Raw genomic sequence first — 18,843 nt, forward strand, 5'->3', positions numbered from 1 at the left:
AGAAAGAAGCCTTTTCTGAGCTTCCCTTATCGGACTAAAGGCAGAGCTCCTTGAAAATGAAATTGCCATAAATCCCCTCTCCAGGAGAGCTGACAGCCAAGGAGACTGGTCATTAGCACAAGGCAGAGAAATTGCATAAATACACATTATCACCAATTGTCATACCCTCCATTTATCTCCACTGAAAGCTCATTTATCCTCTCACAGAAGCCCTTTCTCCCCACCCCCTTTCCCCAGTGAAGTTGGTATATAAACCTTTATTCCTCACTGCTCGGCTATCAATGCTCCCACATGCATGTGGATTTAAAAGAAAGTTTTTCTCCCAACGAGGTGAATGGGTTACTCGTGAAAGAAATGCAGGATTTCAATAAATGAAACTGAGAGGACCAGGTGTGGTGGCTTATGCCTGTAATCCCAGAACTTTGGGATGCTGAGGTGGATGGACTGCTTGAACGCTGGAGTTATTGAGACCAGACTGGGCAACATGGAGAAACCCATCTCTACAAAATATATAAAAATTAGGCAGTGTGGTGGTGTGCGCCTGTGGTCCCAGCTATACAGGAGGCTGAGACATGAGAATCACCTGAACCCAGAAGGTGGAAAATGTAGTGAGCAGAGATTGCACCACTGCACTCCAGCCTGGGCAACAGAGTGGGACTCTGAAAAAAAGAAAGAAAAAGAGAAAGAGAGAGAGAGTACTCCAGCCTGGGCAACAGAGTGAGACACTAAGAAAGAAAGAAAAGAAAAAGAGAAAAAGAAAGAAGAAAGAAAGAAGGAAAGAAAGAAAGAAAGAAAGAAAGAAAGAAAGAGAGGAAGGAAGAAAGAAAGAAAAGAAAAGAAAAAAGGAGGAGGAGGATAGGAAGGAAGAGAGAAAGGAAGAAAGAAAGGAAGAAAGAAAAGAAAAAAAAGAAAAGAAAAGAAGAAGGAGAGGAGGATAGGAAGGAAGAGAGAAAGGAAGAAAGAAAAAGAAAGAAAGAGAAAGAAAGAAAGAAAAAGAAAGAAAGTAAGAGATGTTTGGATGGAAGCCATGTGAACAAAGGAATAGAGGAAGGAAAATACAGGGCAGGTTCGGGGAATGTTCTGCTGTGACTGGAGCAAAGGGTGAATGGAAATCCAGTATAGGAAGCTGAGGCTGGATAACCAAATTACAGCCAACTGGTGGGAGAGTCTTAGACCTTGAGATTTGGGAGGATCCCTAACCCACCTTCTTCATTAGAGCAATAGAAGAGAAACAAGACCAGTGTCTTGGAGAGTATCAATGGCTGGTCAATACCAAAAGGCAAGTAAACGGCAGAGATGGAGGCTAAAGCTCCTGACTCTGAACTCCCTCCCCAGTTTCTTCTTCGCTGCAGCGTGCTGCCTCCTTTGAGATGGATATGGGAGGCAGGTGGAGTTGGTGATGGGACAGAGCTCTCCTGTGTGTTGCCCAGCCTCATTGCCTGCTTTCCTTCTCCAGACACAGTGTAATATCAGTGTTGGCTCCAAACAGCCAGGAGTGGCCAACATGACACGTACCCCTCTGTCCCTATCCTGTGCTGTCAAGCACCTTGTATATAGGCTGTTCCCAAGAGCAGACCAGGAGTGAAGTAGGGCAAGGGGCCCCATTCTTCTCAGCCCAACCAGCACTGGCCATTTCCTCTCTTGGCATGATTTTAGAATTTCCCATTCTCCTCCCTACTGCATTTCCTGCTCAAAGTAGATTTTTTTCCTAGGTCAACTCAGCTGCTCTCTAATTCGGGCAAAACTAGAGATGCAGAGAAAAATGAGAACCTGTTGGGGTTATTTTGGCCTATTGTTCCACACTACAGAGACATTAGATAACGACCTGATCCTGTACCTCTCCTACTCCGCCCCATCCCACGACCCTGGAAGGCATTGTTTGAGTGTTTTGTTTGCATTGTTCAGAGGTTCTCTTAATCTAGTTCAAATTTAAACCTTGATGAAAAAGACAGGTGCAGGCAGCTCTGTGGCTCTCAGTTATTGACCACTCTGTGCAAAAGCCCACACCATGCACACACGTCTTTGCACTGTCCACCATTTGTCCCCCACTTCCTCTTCCTCCCTGTCTGTCTTCCCCACTATTAATCCTTTGCTCCTATCCAGCTGGTCTCTGGATTATTCCCTGAACTTGCCTTGTGTTTTTCCACCTAAAAGCCTTTGTCCCCACCACCTGTCCCCATAAAATGTCCTCCCCACTTTTTTCCATCCAGCCAGATCAGATTCGTTTCACCCTCATTCAACGCCAACTGTTAGTTGGCACTGGGCCAGCACACGTTATCTCATCCTGCAAGGCCTAGCATACATTTATTCTTATCTGGGAAGCTTTCTGGGGCTACCCCAACTGGAAGTGACTACTTCCTCCTTTCTCTCACACTTATTGTCTGTACTGCTCATTTGGTGCTTAATACATCCTAGTACTTTACAATTAATCATTCACTTGCTCATTCATTCATTTAACAAGTATTTACTGAGTGATTATTATTTTGCAGACACTGTGGTAGATGCTGGAGAGATGCAGATGCAAAAGACACCCTGGTTGTCCCCTAGAAACTCACTCTAGTGGTCAAAATTGACACATCAGAAGCTGCTTGTCATAAAATGATGAGTATAGGTCACACTTCAGAAGTCCAGCAGTGGGGCTCCATGATGAATGAGTAAACAGTGGCTCTGTGAAGGTGGAGAGAAAGCGCATTTTCGGAAGGTAGAGGAAGAGCAGGTGCCCAGAGCTGAGGAGCATTGGAATAGGGCTACAAGCAGCACTTGCTGCTGGACCAGAGAATGTTGCCAAAGTATAGAATGTGCAAGATATCATTGGAGGACCTGGAGTTCCAGTCTTAGAGCTTGGCTTCATTCTGAGAGGCATGTTGTGCCATTGAGGGTTTTAAGCAAGGGATTGATTCAAGCTTTGTGGTTTAAGATCACTCTGGCTACTTTCTGAAGGGTGGATAAAACCAGGGAGAGATTTGAGGCAGGAAATTGTTAGGAGGCTGTGGCAATAACCCAAGGCAAGAGACATGAAGGTGGTAATCTCTGCCTGAGAAATGAAGAGACTCGATTTGAGAAATACACAGGATGTATAAAATTATACCGCAGTCACAGCTCTGGAGGCCCTCACAACCGAAAAGTGTGCATAAGTACAATTCAATGTATGGAACCTGTCAAGGATTAAAAAAGTGCTACCAGAGCACAGGAGAGATGGCAGATGACATTGTCTAAGAAATGTGGACCATGTCACGGACTTGTCATTCCTATAACATGGCTATTTATGCACATGTGTCAGACCTCTTCTCCTAGATTTTAGGCTCACTAAAGGCAGGGGACATGGAAAAGCTAAAGGACATCAGCTCTTGTCACAAGCAAGGCCTCTCTGCTCTCCACATTGTGGGTAGGGGTGTCCCAGGGAACTATGTTTGTAGCAGGCAGGTCAGGAGTTTCTGCAGCAAGGGCAGGGCAGGGAAAAAGCATCAAGACATGCTATGAACAGGCCACAGGGGTGATGTCCAGAGCACAGAATTGGAGCCAGGCTAGTCTAAGTTCACATTTCTGCTCCGCTGTCAGCCAGCTATGTGACCTTGGGCAAATAACTTAAGTCAAATTCAGTACTGAGTCAATTTCAGTATTATGTGAAAAATAAATGGAAATCTCTAGGCATGTACCTAGTACCTCTAGAGTACTCTTTGTTATAGATGTAGGTATCACTGATGTTGGCATCTCTTTTCTTATCCCTTCCCCTCACTAATCTGGGAGATCCCTGAGTGCAGCAGAGACTACATCTTACTCATATTTTACCCTCATTTTCTGCCACAGTACTTGCTGCACAGTAGCTGCTCAATCGATGTTTGTTGAATGAGTTCATATGAGCACTTACAATGTTACTTCTGAGCCCAGTAAAATTCCTTAATTTAGATTCACTGCCTACCCCTGAGATAGCACAGAAAAGAAACAAATTTGACAAAGACATTGTTCCTGCCCTCAAGGGGCAGAGATAATTTAAATCAAAGAAAAACTTTAGGTTCTTCAAGGCGCTGTCCTGTATGTTGTTCTCTGCCCACCTCATCTCTTCTCTTTCCTTTCCACACTGTGGTTATCTCATTCATTCACAAGACTTAAATCTATAGTTGATGATTTTCCAATGTATGTCTCCCACAGTGACCTCTCTCTGATCTAGATCAATATATCCAGCTGCCTACTTGACATTGCAAGTAGATTGACATTATCTACTTGCAATCTAATGTCTTAAATTGCACCTTGGACATTTCCACCTAGACTTGCTACTCCTCCAGCATGGCTTTTCTCACTGGGAGGCAGGTTCATCCACCAGATGAATGGTCCAAGCCATTCATCTGGGAGTAATCTTTAACACCTACCTCTCCCTCATGTCTACATCCGATAAAATTTCAGGCTCCCAAAGTAGATCTAGATCTAGGTTCCCTCCTCTTCTCCCGACTCCCACTGCCACCACCATCTCTCATGTGGAGATCATATGACCTCCTCTTGGTAGCCCCATTTTTACTTTTGCTTCTCTTTTTAGATAGTAGCCATAGAAGTATTTAAAACCATTATTCAGACCATAGTACTGATTTAAAAGCCTTTAATGATTTATCTTACAGTTGGGAAGAAATTCGAAATGCTTACCACGACCTGCTGGCCCCATGTGATTGGACTTCCTGCCACTCTCTTGCCTCCTCGCACTCCACTCTGCTTCTTCACTGTTTCAGCTATGCTAGCCTCCTTGTAGTTCTTCAGACACCCCATCCTCCTCTGGCCTTGTGGGTTTTGCATCCCCTGTTTTTCAGAGAAGGCCCTTGGCCCATCTCTTCTCTTAGGTAACTGACAACTCACTGATCCATTAAGCCTCAGCTGAAATGTTCATTCCTCTGGAAGGCCTTTCCTGGTCTCCCTTTCTAAACTAGATCCTTCTTTAAAGTACACATTCGAATTTTTTTATCCCTTGTTCCTTTATCGTACTTATAATTTGTATATGTATATGTTTTTGTGCAACTATTTTGTTTAGCATCTCTGCCCTCATTCTTACCCCAACATGTGCACACACATACACACCCAACTCTGTTGTTTACCATTGCATCTCCAGAGCCTAGCATAGAGCTTGGTCCATAGAACACAGTAGGTCTTTGTTGAATTAATATGTTCAAGGCTGTGAGGAAGAGACAAACATGGGCTGGGAGAGTTCAAAGGAGTTGAACCACCTCTGAATGGTGGTTCAGGCAAGGCTTCAAGGAAGATAAAGCATTTGGTGAAAGATTTGAAAATTGGGTGGAATGAAAAAGGCAGAGGGGAGTGGCACTGAAGGAGTGGGTGGAGGGAGGGGCTTTCCAGGTAGCTGGACAACCTGGCTGGAGAAAGCTGGGTGGTGTCTGAGAAACGATGAGTAACCGGGGTGTCTGGAATACAGGGCTTGTGGAGGGAAGAGGGCCAGAAAGGGCCTTACAAAAAGTAGCTTTTGGACCTATTCTTGAATCTCCAGGAGGTGATGATAGCAGGAGGAAGCAGACAAATCCCTAGGCAGATATTTCCCCAGTGAAACCTGACCTCCAAAACAAAGACAGTTTAAAGCTTGAAAGCCAAGCTACTAGTCTCAGATAAATCCACAGACCAGAAAAGAACCTCTCTTCCCATTTGGCACACTTTCCTCTGATTGATTCCCACCCATCACCTATTTTACAAGTACCTATCTTTCCCTAATTGGTTTTTTACACTGTTGTGCCCATCTTTGGGTGGTGCCTTAGTTTTAGCCTTTTTTGCATACTCACAAACCATTCAGCACGCACACCTGCATTCTGAGCCCATAAAAGCCCTGGACTCAGCCACACTTCAGGGGAACCACTCACCTTTGGGTTGGGGAGACTACCCACCTAGAGTCCCCTTTCTGCTAACAGCTGTTCTGTCACTCAATAAAACTCTTCTCCACCCTTCTCACTCTCTGGTTGTCCAAATAATCTCATTCTTCTTGGATATGGTACAAGAACTTGGGACCTGCTGGATGGCAGGTGCCAAAGGAGCTGCTGTAACACTGTAGCCATCCACCAACACTAGGCAGCCACCCTCAGCAATGGGAAGCAGCAGGAGGGCTGGAGCCATGGGGTACCTCCTGCGGTGAGCCCAGATCTGAGTGGGGCCCAGGCAGGGACAATGCAGGCTGCAGAGGTCTCTGTCTGGTGAAGCAGCACCAAGAAAAAAAAAAATCCTGCATCAGTGATAGATGGCCAAGAGGCTTCCCTGAACAAAGTGACTTTTCTCTTCCTGGAGTGTAGGTACCTGGTATATTTCACAAGCATATGTTTCCTTTAATAAGCTCCCACCCATGAGTTAGGGGACAATACACCCAATACTTTTCAACCTCTTCTGCCTCCTGTCCCACCCCTGCCCCAGGCACCTGGCTGGAAGGCTTGAGCCATTCCTATTAGGATTGGAAATGGAATGCTTCTGCTTCTGTCATGTCAATGGTTTAGTCTAGTTCCACATTAGAAAACTTGGGAATGTGGACAATTTATAGGGAAAAAGAAATTAGGACAGAATTCAAATAATTCCTCCATAGGCATTTGACTCATACTTGAATCATGTCCAGGTGTGGACCCTTTTGACTCACTGAGGCCACTAAAAAAATTCTTTCAGCTACACACATGACTTTCTGAGCCTGTGACCCTCTGTTGGAAACACATACAGGCTCCTCTATTCAATAGATTACAGTTTTAGCCTGGCATGGTGGCTCAAACCTATAATCCTAGCACTTTGGGAGGCCGAGGCAGGCAGATCACTTGAGATCAGGAGTTCGAGACCAGCCTGGCCAACATAGTGCAACCCCATCTCTACTAAAAATACAAAAATTAGCTGGGCATGGTGGCACACACCTGTAATCCCAGCTACTCAGGAGGCTGAGACAGGAGAATCGCTTGAACCTGGGAGGCAGACGTTGCAGTGAACTGAGATCATGCTATTGCACTCCAGTCTGGGCAACAGAGCAAGACTCCATATCTCAAAAAACAAAATAAATAAATAAATAGATTACAGTTTTAAAGGGAGTGCTTATCATCCACTCTGTCAGGTGCTTTCCATGAGTTACTTCATTAGTCCTCATACCCACCTCATACTCACTCATCAGGGAAGCAATCAGATTCATCTTCTAGATAAGAAAACTGAAGCTCAAAGAGATTAAGTAATTTGCCCAAGAGGTGAAGGCTGCTTTTGCATTGAGGTCTGTCTGGCCTAAAGCCTATACTTTCAGCAATTCTGCTATGTGACTTTTTCAAAGACAAGATATAGTGACTGGGTTTGGGGGAGCCATTAAGATCACTTAAAAAAAAAGCTTTACTTTAAAATAATTACAAATTCACAGAAAGTTGCAAAAAAAAAAAAAAAGTAGCCTTCATTCAATATCCCCAGTAGTAACATATTGCATAACTACAGCACAGCATCAAAACTAGGGAACTGACATTGGTACAATCCAGAGTTTATTTAGATTTCGCCAGTTTTACTATGAGAGTATTAGGGTTACTTTTAAAGTCAAATGAAGTTGGGAAGGGGCGGGACAAGAATTCACCTTTTGCAAGGTCCTTTGGAGTCCCGACTGCCCTAAATACTTTCACCCAAAGTCCTGGGTTACTTGAAACAGCAGCTCTGAAGAAGGAATGAATCAACAGATATAGAAATGTCCATTTTTGCTGTCATAGGTCGCAGGAAATGCTATATTCTCAAGGGAACTCATAGACTTTGTGTTTTTTAAATAGAGAGTGACCTGGTGAGAGTGCCTGAGTCTGCTTGTCTGGAGGCCTCTCAAATCCCTTGGGGCTACCTGAGGCCTGGCTCAGCCAAAATGCCTCTCTGCCCCCATTGTCTGTCTCCTGGCAGCTGGAGATAAGCGATAAGCCTGAGAGATGAAGCAGGATTGGAGTCTGAATCACTGCTTACCCATCAGGAGGTTTGAGGCTGTGAACCTGTCTGAATCACTGGCAGCCAACCAGGACAGTTTTATCTGGAAAAACTCTCCCCAGGACAGCCCCAGCCTGACTGAGGGAACAATGGCGGGAAATGGAGGCTCAGGCTTGGGTGTTAGGGCCCTGCCACCCACACTGCTTTGCACTGTTATTCCTGGCCAACGCAGAGATTTGCTGTCGCTCAGAGAGACACTGTGGGAAGAAGTGCAAATGAGGCTTGGAAATTAAAAGGAAGTGGTATGATGACAAAGAAAGTGATAGGAGATTGTTTTCCCAGCTTTAGAGATTTAATTATGAAAGATTCTGAGAACAGCCTCCCTGGATGTATAATGGTTGTTATCCCAGTAACTATGACAGTTCCTTGACCACCAGGCCAAATGTTGAAGCCACTTGGGGCTTAATTTTCTTGCCAAGATATTTCACTTCTGGATTTTAGAGATCCTGAAACACATGAGAAATTAGACCTTACAGTTAAGTAGACAAACATACATCACCCTTTGGTGTGGTCTTGGTCTTTGGCCCCTTTCCTTCTGTCATGTAAATCTAGTTACTCATCTTTAACCCTGGGACAGTGGGTGGGGGCAGAAAAAGTGTGATACCTTTCCTTCCCATAGTCAGGGCCATGGCCGATGCTCCTACAACAAAAAACGGGTTAACAAGAGAAAAGCGTGACAGATTTGCTTAATCAAAGTTTTATGTGATACAAGAGGATTCAGAAATGAAGACCCAAAGGCACCGTACTTTGGGGTATCGTGTTCTGAGCCCCGACAGTAGGCAATCTGCTTAGATTGACAGTTTGTTCTTAGTGTGCTCAGATTGGTTTCTAGAAATGACTGGTTGTTTTACCAAATGCTCAAAAGCTCTCAGTTATGGTTGTGTTCCCCCAAAATTCATAGTTGAAGCCCTAAGGTGCAGTGCCTTAGAATGCGACCTTATTTGGAAATAGGGTCAGTGCAGATGTAAGCACTCAAGATCAAGTCGTACTGGAGTAGGGTGGACCCCAATCCAATATGACTAGTATCTTTAGAAAAAGAGGGAATTTGGACACAAACACACACACACACACAAACAGACAGTGTTATGTGAAGATGAAGGCTGAGTGCACGGTGATGCTTCTACAAGCCAAAGAATGTCAAAGACTGCCAGAAAACCACCAGAAGCTAGGAGAGGGGCAACCCTGCTGACACCTTGATCTCAGACTTCTTGACTCCAGAACTGTGAGACAATAAACTTCTGTTGTTGAAACCACCGAGCTTGGTATTTTGTTAGGGACTTAATAGAATATCTTAAAATTTTTGTTTCAGAATCTTTCTCAGAATTGATTGCAAGACCACTGGTCTACTCTCTGTGAAACCCACCTCCTTTTCACTTTTAATATTAAATGGATCTTACCATATTTATCATCCCAAGATTTTTCTTTTCTCAATAATTCCTATAAGCAAGATCAAAACAACAAAAAATCAGTAAAATGTTTGCAAGCAATTGTGCTCAAATTAGTGCCAATTTCCTCTTTCTGAAAAACAAAAGCAAAAACAAAACAGAACTAAAGCCTGGCTGCACCCAACCTTTCTGACTGGCTCTTAGTTCAAATGGATGAGTAAATTGATGATGGCAAAATACTACCATGTTTTCAGCAGACATATTGCACCTGAACTGGGGATAAATGGCTTCTTTTTCTCAGAACTCGGGTGCATGCACAAGGAGGAGTCACACTAGAAACACTGCAGAACAACTGTTGCTGGCAGAAAGAGGACCTGAGAAAATGAAAGAAGCTAAGCCGGATGTGGTGGCTCACATCTGTAATCCCAGCACTTTGGGAGGCCGAGGTGGATAGATCACTTGAAGTCTGGATTTCGAGACCTGCCTGGCCAACATGGTGAAACTCCGTCTCTGCTAAAAATACAAAAATTAGCTGGGTGTGGTGGCACATGCCTGTAATCCCAGCTACTCAGGAGGCTGAGGCAGGAGAACTGCTTGAACCTGGGAGGCAGAGGTTGCAGTGAGCTGAGATCGTGCAATTGTACTCCAGCCTGGGCAAAGAGAGCGAAACTCCGTCTCAAAAAAACAAAAGACAATGAAAGAAGCTGTGTAAATAGGACCCGCAGCCCTGTTGGAGGGAGGGACCCTCTTGATGAATCTAACACAACAGCGCACTTCAGACAGAGACAACTGGGACACTGGGCTCCAGGGAGGCTTAGCAGAAATCTCTGTGACCCATGGGTCACTGGGACCTGGTGCACATGTCTCCCAGTCACAGGGACCTGGAACTTCTGCCCCAGCTCCAAACCCTACTTGCTCTGGAGTACTGGCTACTATAGACATAGGTCAATTAATCTTGATGACACAGTTTCAGAAGCCTCAGAATGTCTTCTCCTGTTTTGAGGTCCCCTTGGGGCCTCCTGTCGGAGTGTAGGCTAGAGCTTGGGCAGTTGGCTGCAAGGCTCAACAGAAGGGAAGGGAAGCGTTCATCAGGTTTCCCTCATCCCTTGCTTGGTCTTTGCAAGAGCCTCTGCCTTCCCTGCCTAAAAGTGGTTTTGTTCTAGGTGGGAGGAGAGAGAGGGTACGAGGTGTGGAGTATAGGCAGGGCAGTTTGCCGGGAGTCTGGGCCTGTATATTCCTACAAGCAGTACCAGGTTTAAAAGATCTGAGTGGGGTCCGGGCGCGGTGGCTCACGCCTGTAATCCCAGCACTTTGGGAGGCCGAGGCGGGCGGATCACGAGGTCAGGAGATCGAGACCATCCCGGCTAAAACGGTGAAACCCCATCTCTACTAAAAATACAAAAAATTAGCCGGGCGTAGTGGCGGGCGCCTGTAGTCCCAGCTACTTGGGAGGCTGAGGCAGGAGAATGGCGTGAACCCGGGAGGCGGAGCTTGCAGTGAGCCGAGATCCCGCCACTGCACTCCAGCCTGGGCGACAGAGCGAGACTCCGTCTCAAAAAAAAAAAAAAAAAAAAAAAGATCTGAGTGGGTTCTTCGAGGAACCAGCCAGAATTGGGCAGCTTCTGGTCCACACTGCAGCTGCCTCGACCCAACTTATCCATACTCTAACCCTCAGCTGACGCATTCTCTAAAGGGTACCCAGAAGGTAGGGAGGAAGAAGCAGATGGGGAGTGTCTGGGGAGCTGCCTGAGGATCCCAGATGCCAGGCACTCACCAAGTGGGGGACTGAGCTCCTTAAATGATGCCACCCCTTTGGGCCATAAATCCACTCACTGATCAAACAGGGCCCACCTTGGGGACATTCAGAAGCCCTTCTCTGTTTTCTTTCCCACCCTCATCACCTCCCCCAGAGTCACCTCAGTCTTCTGCTCCCCCTCTATTGTGCCTGGCCCCAGCTCTGTTTCAGGAAGGCATAGATTGTATCTACAGTTCCTGGGACCTCTAAGAAGAGGCTCTGGTCTTTCATAGTCTTCAGAATATGACATCCTAAAAACAAACCTTTCTCTTGCTAATATCAACTACTTCCTAGCTCAACTTGGATGACTTGTCTTGCCGACAAAGCCTGTTTGTTTAAGCAGCCACAAAAAAACCCAGGAAGAGGTGAGAAGAAAACTGTCCTGCCACAGCAGCATAGCAGAGAAGAAACCATCTGAGTCCAGCTGCACTCTAGGGTGAAGGGGAGAACCTTGCCAGAGGGTCAGGGTGCACACTCTCGCTGAACTTTCCTGGAAGGGGACACAAAGAGTTAAAGAAATGCATTTAAATGAGCACTGTAGCTTGAAACCAAAGCTCCCAGGCCTCTTTCAGAACCTGGAGCCAGGGAAGTGTCTATTGTCAACAAATGCCACCACCGGACCAATAGCAAGCCAGAGTGTGGCTCTGAGAGAGGGGCCTCTGGGTGTCACCAGGCAACAGGCACAAAGGAACCTGGATCAACTGCCCAGCAGATGATGACACTGCTCCACAGCTCCACCCACTGTCCCCCAGCAGCTTCTGCTCCAGCACAGCCAGGTGGGAGAACAACACGCTCCAGATACTCCCAAGATCAAATGACCATCAGTCTTGGGCTGTGGGGGGAAAGCAGGTGGTACAGAAAAGGCTTTATTTGGAAACTTTATTACAGTTTTTTGAAAAGGCTGGGCAGACGGCAAAGGTGAAGATTTGTAAGTAAAAAAGGAAGTGTTGCTGCAAACTAAAGCAAGACGCATATGTCTTTCTTCTGTTCATGTTCTTATAAGTCAAGAGATGGGCACAACCTGGTGGCTTTCCCTAGATGCTGAGTGAGAAGCTCTGGGCAAATTTTCTAAATTACACTGAAGGAGACTGTAAAGTGAAACCTAAGGATGCTTGTTTCTCATTGCCACAAAGTACACTCCCTTCAGGTCACAGAGCCAGAGGAGGGTAAGCAATCACCCATGCAAAGCCTTCTTATCTCAAACTAATGAAAAGTTGAAGAAATCCTTTCATTCCATCAGGCAGTTTTTCACTGAACCTTTACAGCAACGGCAGGGCCTGGGCTAGGTTCTGGGGCTGCAGAGATGAATTGCTCCCTTTCCCCTCAGGAGGTCTGGCCATTCCCAAATGTTCACTGTCTTATCCACCCTATAAGCCAAAGACTCTCAAGTTTATATTCCCAGCCCATTCCATACCCTCCTTTTCCAAAACACCAACCCAATGTATCAAATACTTTTCTATATATCTTCTCATGGGTTTCCACAGGCTCGCCAAGCTCAACATGCCCCAAGCTCAAGGATTCATCTCTCTATCGGCAAACCTGTTCTACTGCATGAGCTTTCCTCTGTGGGGGTCTTAGGGAATAACAGTACCTTTCCCCATTTTGTGGGTTGAATTGAAAGCTAAGAGAGAGGCCTGAAACAGATCCTTCCTTAGTGCCTTCAGAAGGTGCATGACTCTGCTGACACCTTGATTTTAAACTTCTGGCCTCCAGAACTGTGAAACAATAAATGACTGTTGTTCTAAGCCACGAGTGTGGTGTACTTTGTTATGACAGCCCTTGGAAACTAACACACTCCCATTAAACATTGTTCAAGAAAGGAGCCTGAGAGCTTCCACCCAGTCTTCCCCTCCATTGCCACCTCTATCCTTCACCTGCAGCCATAACCAATAAGCCACCAAACCCATCCATTTTACCTGCAGGATACCACTGCCAGTACCCATTTATCTTCATTCCCGCTGTACCCCTATGGAGCAGACCACCATCCCTTCTCATCAGTCTTTCCTAACTGCTGTCCCTGCCTCCAGTAATATCTCCTGCTTGTCTGTTCTTTGAGTTGCAGCCAGAATTATCTTTCAATGTGCGAATCTGAGATGCCATTTCCCTGCTTAAAACTTTTCAGAGGCTCCTCATTGCTCCTAGGAGGAAGTTTAGACTTCTCAAAGGGCTCAAAAGATGCAGAATAATGCAGTCCTTGGTCTCCTCTCTGCCCTCATCTCTTGCCAGACTCTTGACAGTATTATTCTCTGGTAATACTGGGCATCTCTCTCTCCTAAATGTAATGATATGTGAGGAATGTTTTCTCTTGCCACCAGCATTCCCATATGCCGTTCCTTCTGCCTGGGGCGTATTTCCCTGCACTCTTCATCTTCAGAACTGCTACTTCTCACAGTGCTTTGCAATTGCCTCTTGATCTGTTGGCATCCCACCCCAGATCCCAGCTCCTAGGGGAGAGAAGTCTTGTCTATCTTGCTCATGGGGGTATTTGCAGTGCCCAGCACAGTGTCTGGGATAGAATAGGTACCCAAGAATCATTTGTTGATGAACTGACTGATTGACTGACTGACTGAAATATGACTCCTGCCCCCAATGGGTTCAGCCCAGAGAGTAGACAGTAGTGTGGCAAAGCAGTTCAACAGCGCAGAAATAGGACTCAGATTCAGCTTGAGAACATTTCACATAGTTGACGAGCCTTCAAGTTGGGCCTTAAAAATGTGTAAGTGTAATAGGTTCATTGCCTGATGTGCATGGCAAGTCAATACACTGAGACCCTGGGTTGCAGCAGATAAAGAGGTTTACTTGTGAGGCTGCTGGACAAGATGATGGGAAGAAACCTCACATCTGCCTCCTTGAGGAGTTTGGGGCTAGGGTTTTTAAGAGTTTTGGAGTGGGCCGAAGTGTGGTGATTGTTGATCGGTAAGATTGCAGGCTGAAATCATGGAACAAGGAGATAAAGAAACCATATTCTCAGGCTGTTTTTATTCTTCTTTGGGGTCTTTAAACTGGATGATGTCAGCTGTTTCGCTGGAATTCCGGATGTGAAAAACATCTTAAGCAATTCCCAAATAAAAGCCTTAAGATACTAATATCAGAAACCCTATTTTTAGGAACAATAGGAATGCAAATGGTGAGTATCTAGTGTTATCTGGCTTTCAGCTATAAGGAAGTGTGTCAAAGTGCAGCATGATTAATGCTTAATTGTAACTATATTCTGTCCAGTTCTTGTTCATCCTGTGAGGACAGTTTCAGGTGAACAGGAATTGGCCAGAATAGAAAGGGAGCAGGGTGGAGAAGGCCATTTTACGCAAAGAAGATGCTGTGGATAAAGAAACATGTACGTTTGGGGGAATGGTGGGAATATTTTGTGTGCCTAGAGTATGGTCTGCAGAAATTGAGCTAATGTAGCCTGGGATTGAAATGTGAATCCTCCAAGGATTTTTTTTTTTTTTTTCATAAAAACCTCAATTACTTTCCCTCAACGTGAAACAGCATAAAGCAAGTTAGTGATTCCTTTTTATAATCAGGAGAGTGAAGACACACACTGAGTAGAAGCGTTGTTCTGTGATTGTTAGTCTTTTAAGACATAAGAATAATTTGTCTATATCCCCTGCGTAAAATTATTGCTTATCCTTGAGGGCAAGAATTAAACCACCCATTTGCCTTCTCTTTCTGAAGAAAACAAATTTGATTCCTTAACTGTGTTCTTACCAAATCCATTCCCTCACTCTGAAAACTTAATTCCCTGAGATCATTTTAATCTCTCTCTCTCTCTGTCTCTCTCTGTCTCTCTCTCTCTCTTCCTCACCCTGAACCCTATGGTCCAATTGCATGAACCAGAACTGAAGAGGAAACATAAAAGCAAGTGAGTCTTTCCTAAGATTGGTGAGGAGGACCTGTGGGCAGGCAGAGCAGGAAGAGTGATCTATCCCATAGGAATGTCTGCCAAGGTCCAGCAAACCTCGAGAGGAATCCAGGGGCACAGAAGTCACCACGTTGGTTGGAGGCAGGAGAGAACATCATTGGTCAGACAGCTCATCCATCTTGCACAGCAACAGTTAGTCTCAAAAGCCCTCAGAGGAGATAGGCATAGCCACTCCTGGAGGACTGCCGACTTATGTGGTGTGAAGCCTAAGGAGGGTGCACTGCTAAGAAAAGCCTGCACCACGCACCACCCTTGCGTCTATAGTCTGGAGGTGGTTTTGTGGTCAGAACATGGGTGGGCAGGAGCCTAAGCACAGGCACACATGCAACTTAAGCCTGAGGGCCAGCAGCAGCCCAGAGCCACGAAGTCACCCTTTGTGGTATAGGAGTGAGATTCACTCAGAATCAGCATGTTGGTAATGTTGTTGCAGCTCAATCTCACACAAAAGAAATGTTGTGCAAGCCAGCAGGAACAATCAGATTGCCAGGTCACTTTCCTGGAAAGGGGGCATCTGGTTGACTCCACGCATGGGGTAGTGGGTCAGAGAGTGACCCTGAGGGACGAAGCAAGGACAGGGCCCACACAGGTCCCATCTGGGATCACAGCTCTCCACTTAGGTAGCACTGCCAGCTCTGTCTGTTCCAAGCACCAGAAAGGCACTTAGAACATTTTGAGAAAGTGACTCTAATGTGTGTTTGTGGTGACCAGGGGTGGAGGGGCGGGGAGTTCTTCCATAGGTGGACCATAACTTGGAACCTAGGTACAAGGCAATATCACTTCCCGGCAGCAAAGGGCTGGGATGGAGAGCATATGGGGCAGAATCTGTTGAGCAGACCAGAATCAGGGAGAGACCAACTCTGGGGCAGGGCAGGACTTGGAAGAATAAATTGAAGATTAGGGTTATATATGTGTCTATTTCCTGCCCTACGCTGTGAGCTATAAATGGAGAGATCATGCCTTATGTCTTCTCTTAACCCTTTATGTCTTAACAATGCCTGTCTCCATGTGCATGCTGATAAATGAAAGGATAAAAAGATAAATGCCTGAAAAGTCCTGACTTTGCCTATTGAGATTGGCTCAGAATTTGGGACAGGCTTGATTGACCCTGCAGTTAGAACCATCAGCAGAACAACCTGCAAAAGGTAGAGAAAGTAGAAAGAGGAGGCAGATCTGAGAATAAATGTCCCCTTCTCCCACACCCCAGAAACATCTGATCACAGGTTTCACTCCCTCAGTGGTTGTGACTCAGTGTTGCCCTCCTGCCACCACCCTATTTTCTCAATAACAACAGCATTGCTCAGGGGCGACTCTGCCTCCCATCAGGACACAAAAGCTCCTATGTTTCCCATTGCACCCCATCACTGTCACAGCAAGTCACTGATGAACTGTGGAACAATCCAATGGGTCACTCTTGCTTTTTAAAATGGTTCCCTAGCCAGGCGTGGTGGCAGGCCCCTGTAATCCCAGCTACTTGGGAGGCTGAGGCAGGAGAATTGCTTGAACACGGAAGGCAGAGGTTGCAGTGAGCCAAGATCGCGCCACTGCACTCCAATCTGGGTGAAAGAGTGAGACTCCGTCTAAATAAATAAACAAATAAAATTAAAAATAAAAAAATAAATAAAATGGTTCCCAAGTGGGTCCTCCAACCAGCAATAGTAAATTCATCACCCATGTTGAGCCACTCCTGGGATCTATCAATTGCTGTTTGCAGTTACTCAAAATCTCTAGGTTCAAATAATTAACAGCTCCCTTGGAATGCTTACTTTTGCAAAATACTGCATGCTCATTTGAGCATAAAGAGGCTCCCTAGAGGAATATCAAAACTGCTTTTGAAAACTGGATAATTTATGGGTATGTTCATACCCTTCATTAAGCTCTAGGTGACAGCTTGATATGCAATTAACAAAGCAAAGCAAAACCTGGCCTCTGATCTGTTAAAAAGCATGCTGAACAGGCCTATCTCATGGATGGTGACTCTCAGCTGAGAGTGGTTTTTGGGAGGAGAGTGTCATTGGAGAGGAGATGCAGTAAATATGAAGGCAGCTGCTACCAGCTCTGTTGGGAAAATGAGATTTAAAGCCCAAAGCTGGTGTCAGGCTGGGGTGGATATCAGACACTATAGCTGGTTTTCGGGGGAAGCTAATGCCTTACTCTATGAAGTCCTTCTCTGAGTTGTAGGGTTATAGGATTCCTGCTGTGACTGTACCCACCCAGTTTAGTAGTGCCTGCAGGCAGACCTCAGGACAAACTAGCCATAAAGTACTCCCCCGTAGCAGTACTTTGGCCAGTAATCAGCTCTACTTTTATATCAAAATTCCAAACAGTTCTAAAGCTGGGTAGTCCCTGCCATGTTCCTCCAGGCTTCTTTTTACATGTAGAAACGTCTGTGTGTCAACTCCCTCACCCAAAGATAATAAGACTCCCTGGAAATAATATTAATAGTAACAGCTAACATTAATCCTGCTCTCAATAAGTATCAGAAACTATAGTAAGTTGAAACTACACCAAGAAGCTACACTAAATATTTCTGTAATTATAACTTACTCAGCATGTGCCTAGTTCTTTTGGCGGTGCATTACACCATTATTACTCATTCAATCTTTACGTTAAGCCTGTAAGCTAATTCCATTGTTATGCCTATTTTTTTGATGAAGACTCTGAGTCACAAAGAGGTTAAGTGATTGCTTCGGACACATAGCTAATGAGTGGTGGAACCAGGATTTGAACCCCCACAGTAAAACATGTTTTGTAGGGCCTTTAACACTATTCCACATTTTCCTAGTCTTTGCATTCATTGTATCACATATTCTGAACTCTGCCTAATTTTTAGCTCTGTCTTGAACCATCCTCTGCCCTAATCTCTGCATTCTAGCTGTACTGGCTTTTTTATTTCCCAAACCTGCCAGGCTTCCCCCACCATAGGACCTTTTATATACTATATGAGACAGGGATTTAATTTCTTTCTTTTGCATGTGGATATCCATTCATTCAAGCACTATGTGTTGAAAACACTATTCTTCCCTCCACTGCATTATCTTGGTATTCTTCCCAAAAATCAACTGGCCATAAATGTGAAGACTTACTATATTTCTGGACTCTTAATTCTATTCCATTGGTCTATATGTCTATCCTTATGCCAAAATCACACTAACTCAATTACTGTAGCTTTGTGGTAAGTTTAAAATTGGGAAGTATGAGTCTTCCAACTTTGTTCTTCTTTTTCAAGATTGCTTTGTTTATTCTGGAAACTTTGAATTTCCGTAGGGATTTTAGGATTAGCTTATGAATTTCTGTAAATAAGCCAGCTAGAATTTTGATAGAGATTGTGTCCAATCTGTAAATTAATTTGGGGAGTAATATCATTCCAACTTTAAGTCTTCCAATCCATGAACATGAGATGTCTTCTCATTTATTTCAGTCCTCTTTAATTTCTTTCAATAATCTTTAAAGTTTCCAGAGTATATGTTTTATTTATTATTATTGTTATTTTGAGATGGAGTTTCACTCTTCTTGCCCAGGCTGGAGTGCAGTGACGTGATCTCGGCTCACTGCCACCTCTGCCGCCAGGGCTCACGCAATTCTCCTGCCTCAGCCTCCCGAGTATCTGGGATCACAGGCACACATCTCTGCACCCAGAAAAATTTTTTGGTATTTTTAGTAGAGACAGGGTTTCACCACATTGGCCAGGATAGTCTTGAACTCCTGACCTCAGGTGATCCACCCGCCTTGGCCTCCCAAAGTGCTGGGATTATAGGCATGAGCCACCATGCCCAGCCCAGAATATATGTTTTAGA

General features: G+C 45.1%; 2 long non-coding RNA genes across 2 annotated transcripts, besides 2 other annotated features; one reads left to right on the forward strand and one right to left on the reverse strand.

Annotated features, from left to right (window-relative positions):
- Nucleotides 8,003-8,503: an enhancer, noted in NCBI's record as "H3K4me1 hESC enhancer chr11:13132777-13133277 (GRCh37/hg19 assembly coordinates)". NCBI's record gives its function as "activates a minimal SCP1, AML or CMV promoter by ChIP-STARR-seq in primed H9 embryonic stem cells {active_cell/tissue: H9 hESC(primed)}" and the evidence as "EXISTENCE:reporter gene assay evidence [ECO:0000049][PMID:30033119]".
- On the reverse strand, nt 8,276-9,754 carry LOC105376558 (uncharacterized). Its single transcript, XR_931043.1, has 3 exons — nt 9,345-9,754; nt 8,552-8,587; nt 8,276-8,393 (listed from the first exon to the last, which is right to left on the reverse strand). It is a non-coding gene; the product is annotated as an uncharacterized LOC105376558 (long non-coding RNA).
- Nucleotides 9,755-11,847: 2,093 nt separating this feature from the next.
- LOC124902635 (uncharacterized) lies at nt 11,848-12,872 on the forward strand. The gene is made up of 2 exons (XR_007062599.1): nt 11,848-12,293; nt 12,612-12,872. It is a non-coding gene; the product is annotated as an uncharacterized LOC124902635 (long non-coding RNA).
- Nucleotides 17,373-17,990: an enhancer, noted in NCBI's record as "NANOG-H3K27ac hESC enhancer chr11:13142147-13142764 (GRCh37/hg19 assembly coordinates)". NCBI's record gives its function as "activates a minimal SCP1, AML or CMV promoter by ChIP-STARR-seq in naive H9 embryonic stem cells {active_cell/tissue: H9 hESC(naive)}" and the evidence as "EXISTENCE:reporter gene assay evidence [ECO:0000049][PMID:30033119]".

Source organism: Homo sapiens, chromosome 11, assembly GCF_000001405.40.
Source record: "Homo sapiens chromosome 11, GRCh38.p14 Primary Assembly".
Classification (NCBI taxonomy): Eukaryota; Metazoa; Chordata; class Mammalia; order Primates; family Hominidae; genus Homo; species Homo sapiens.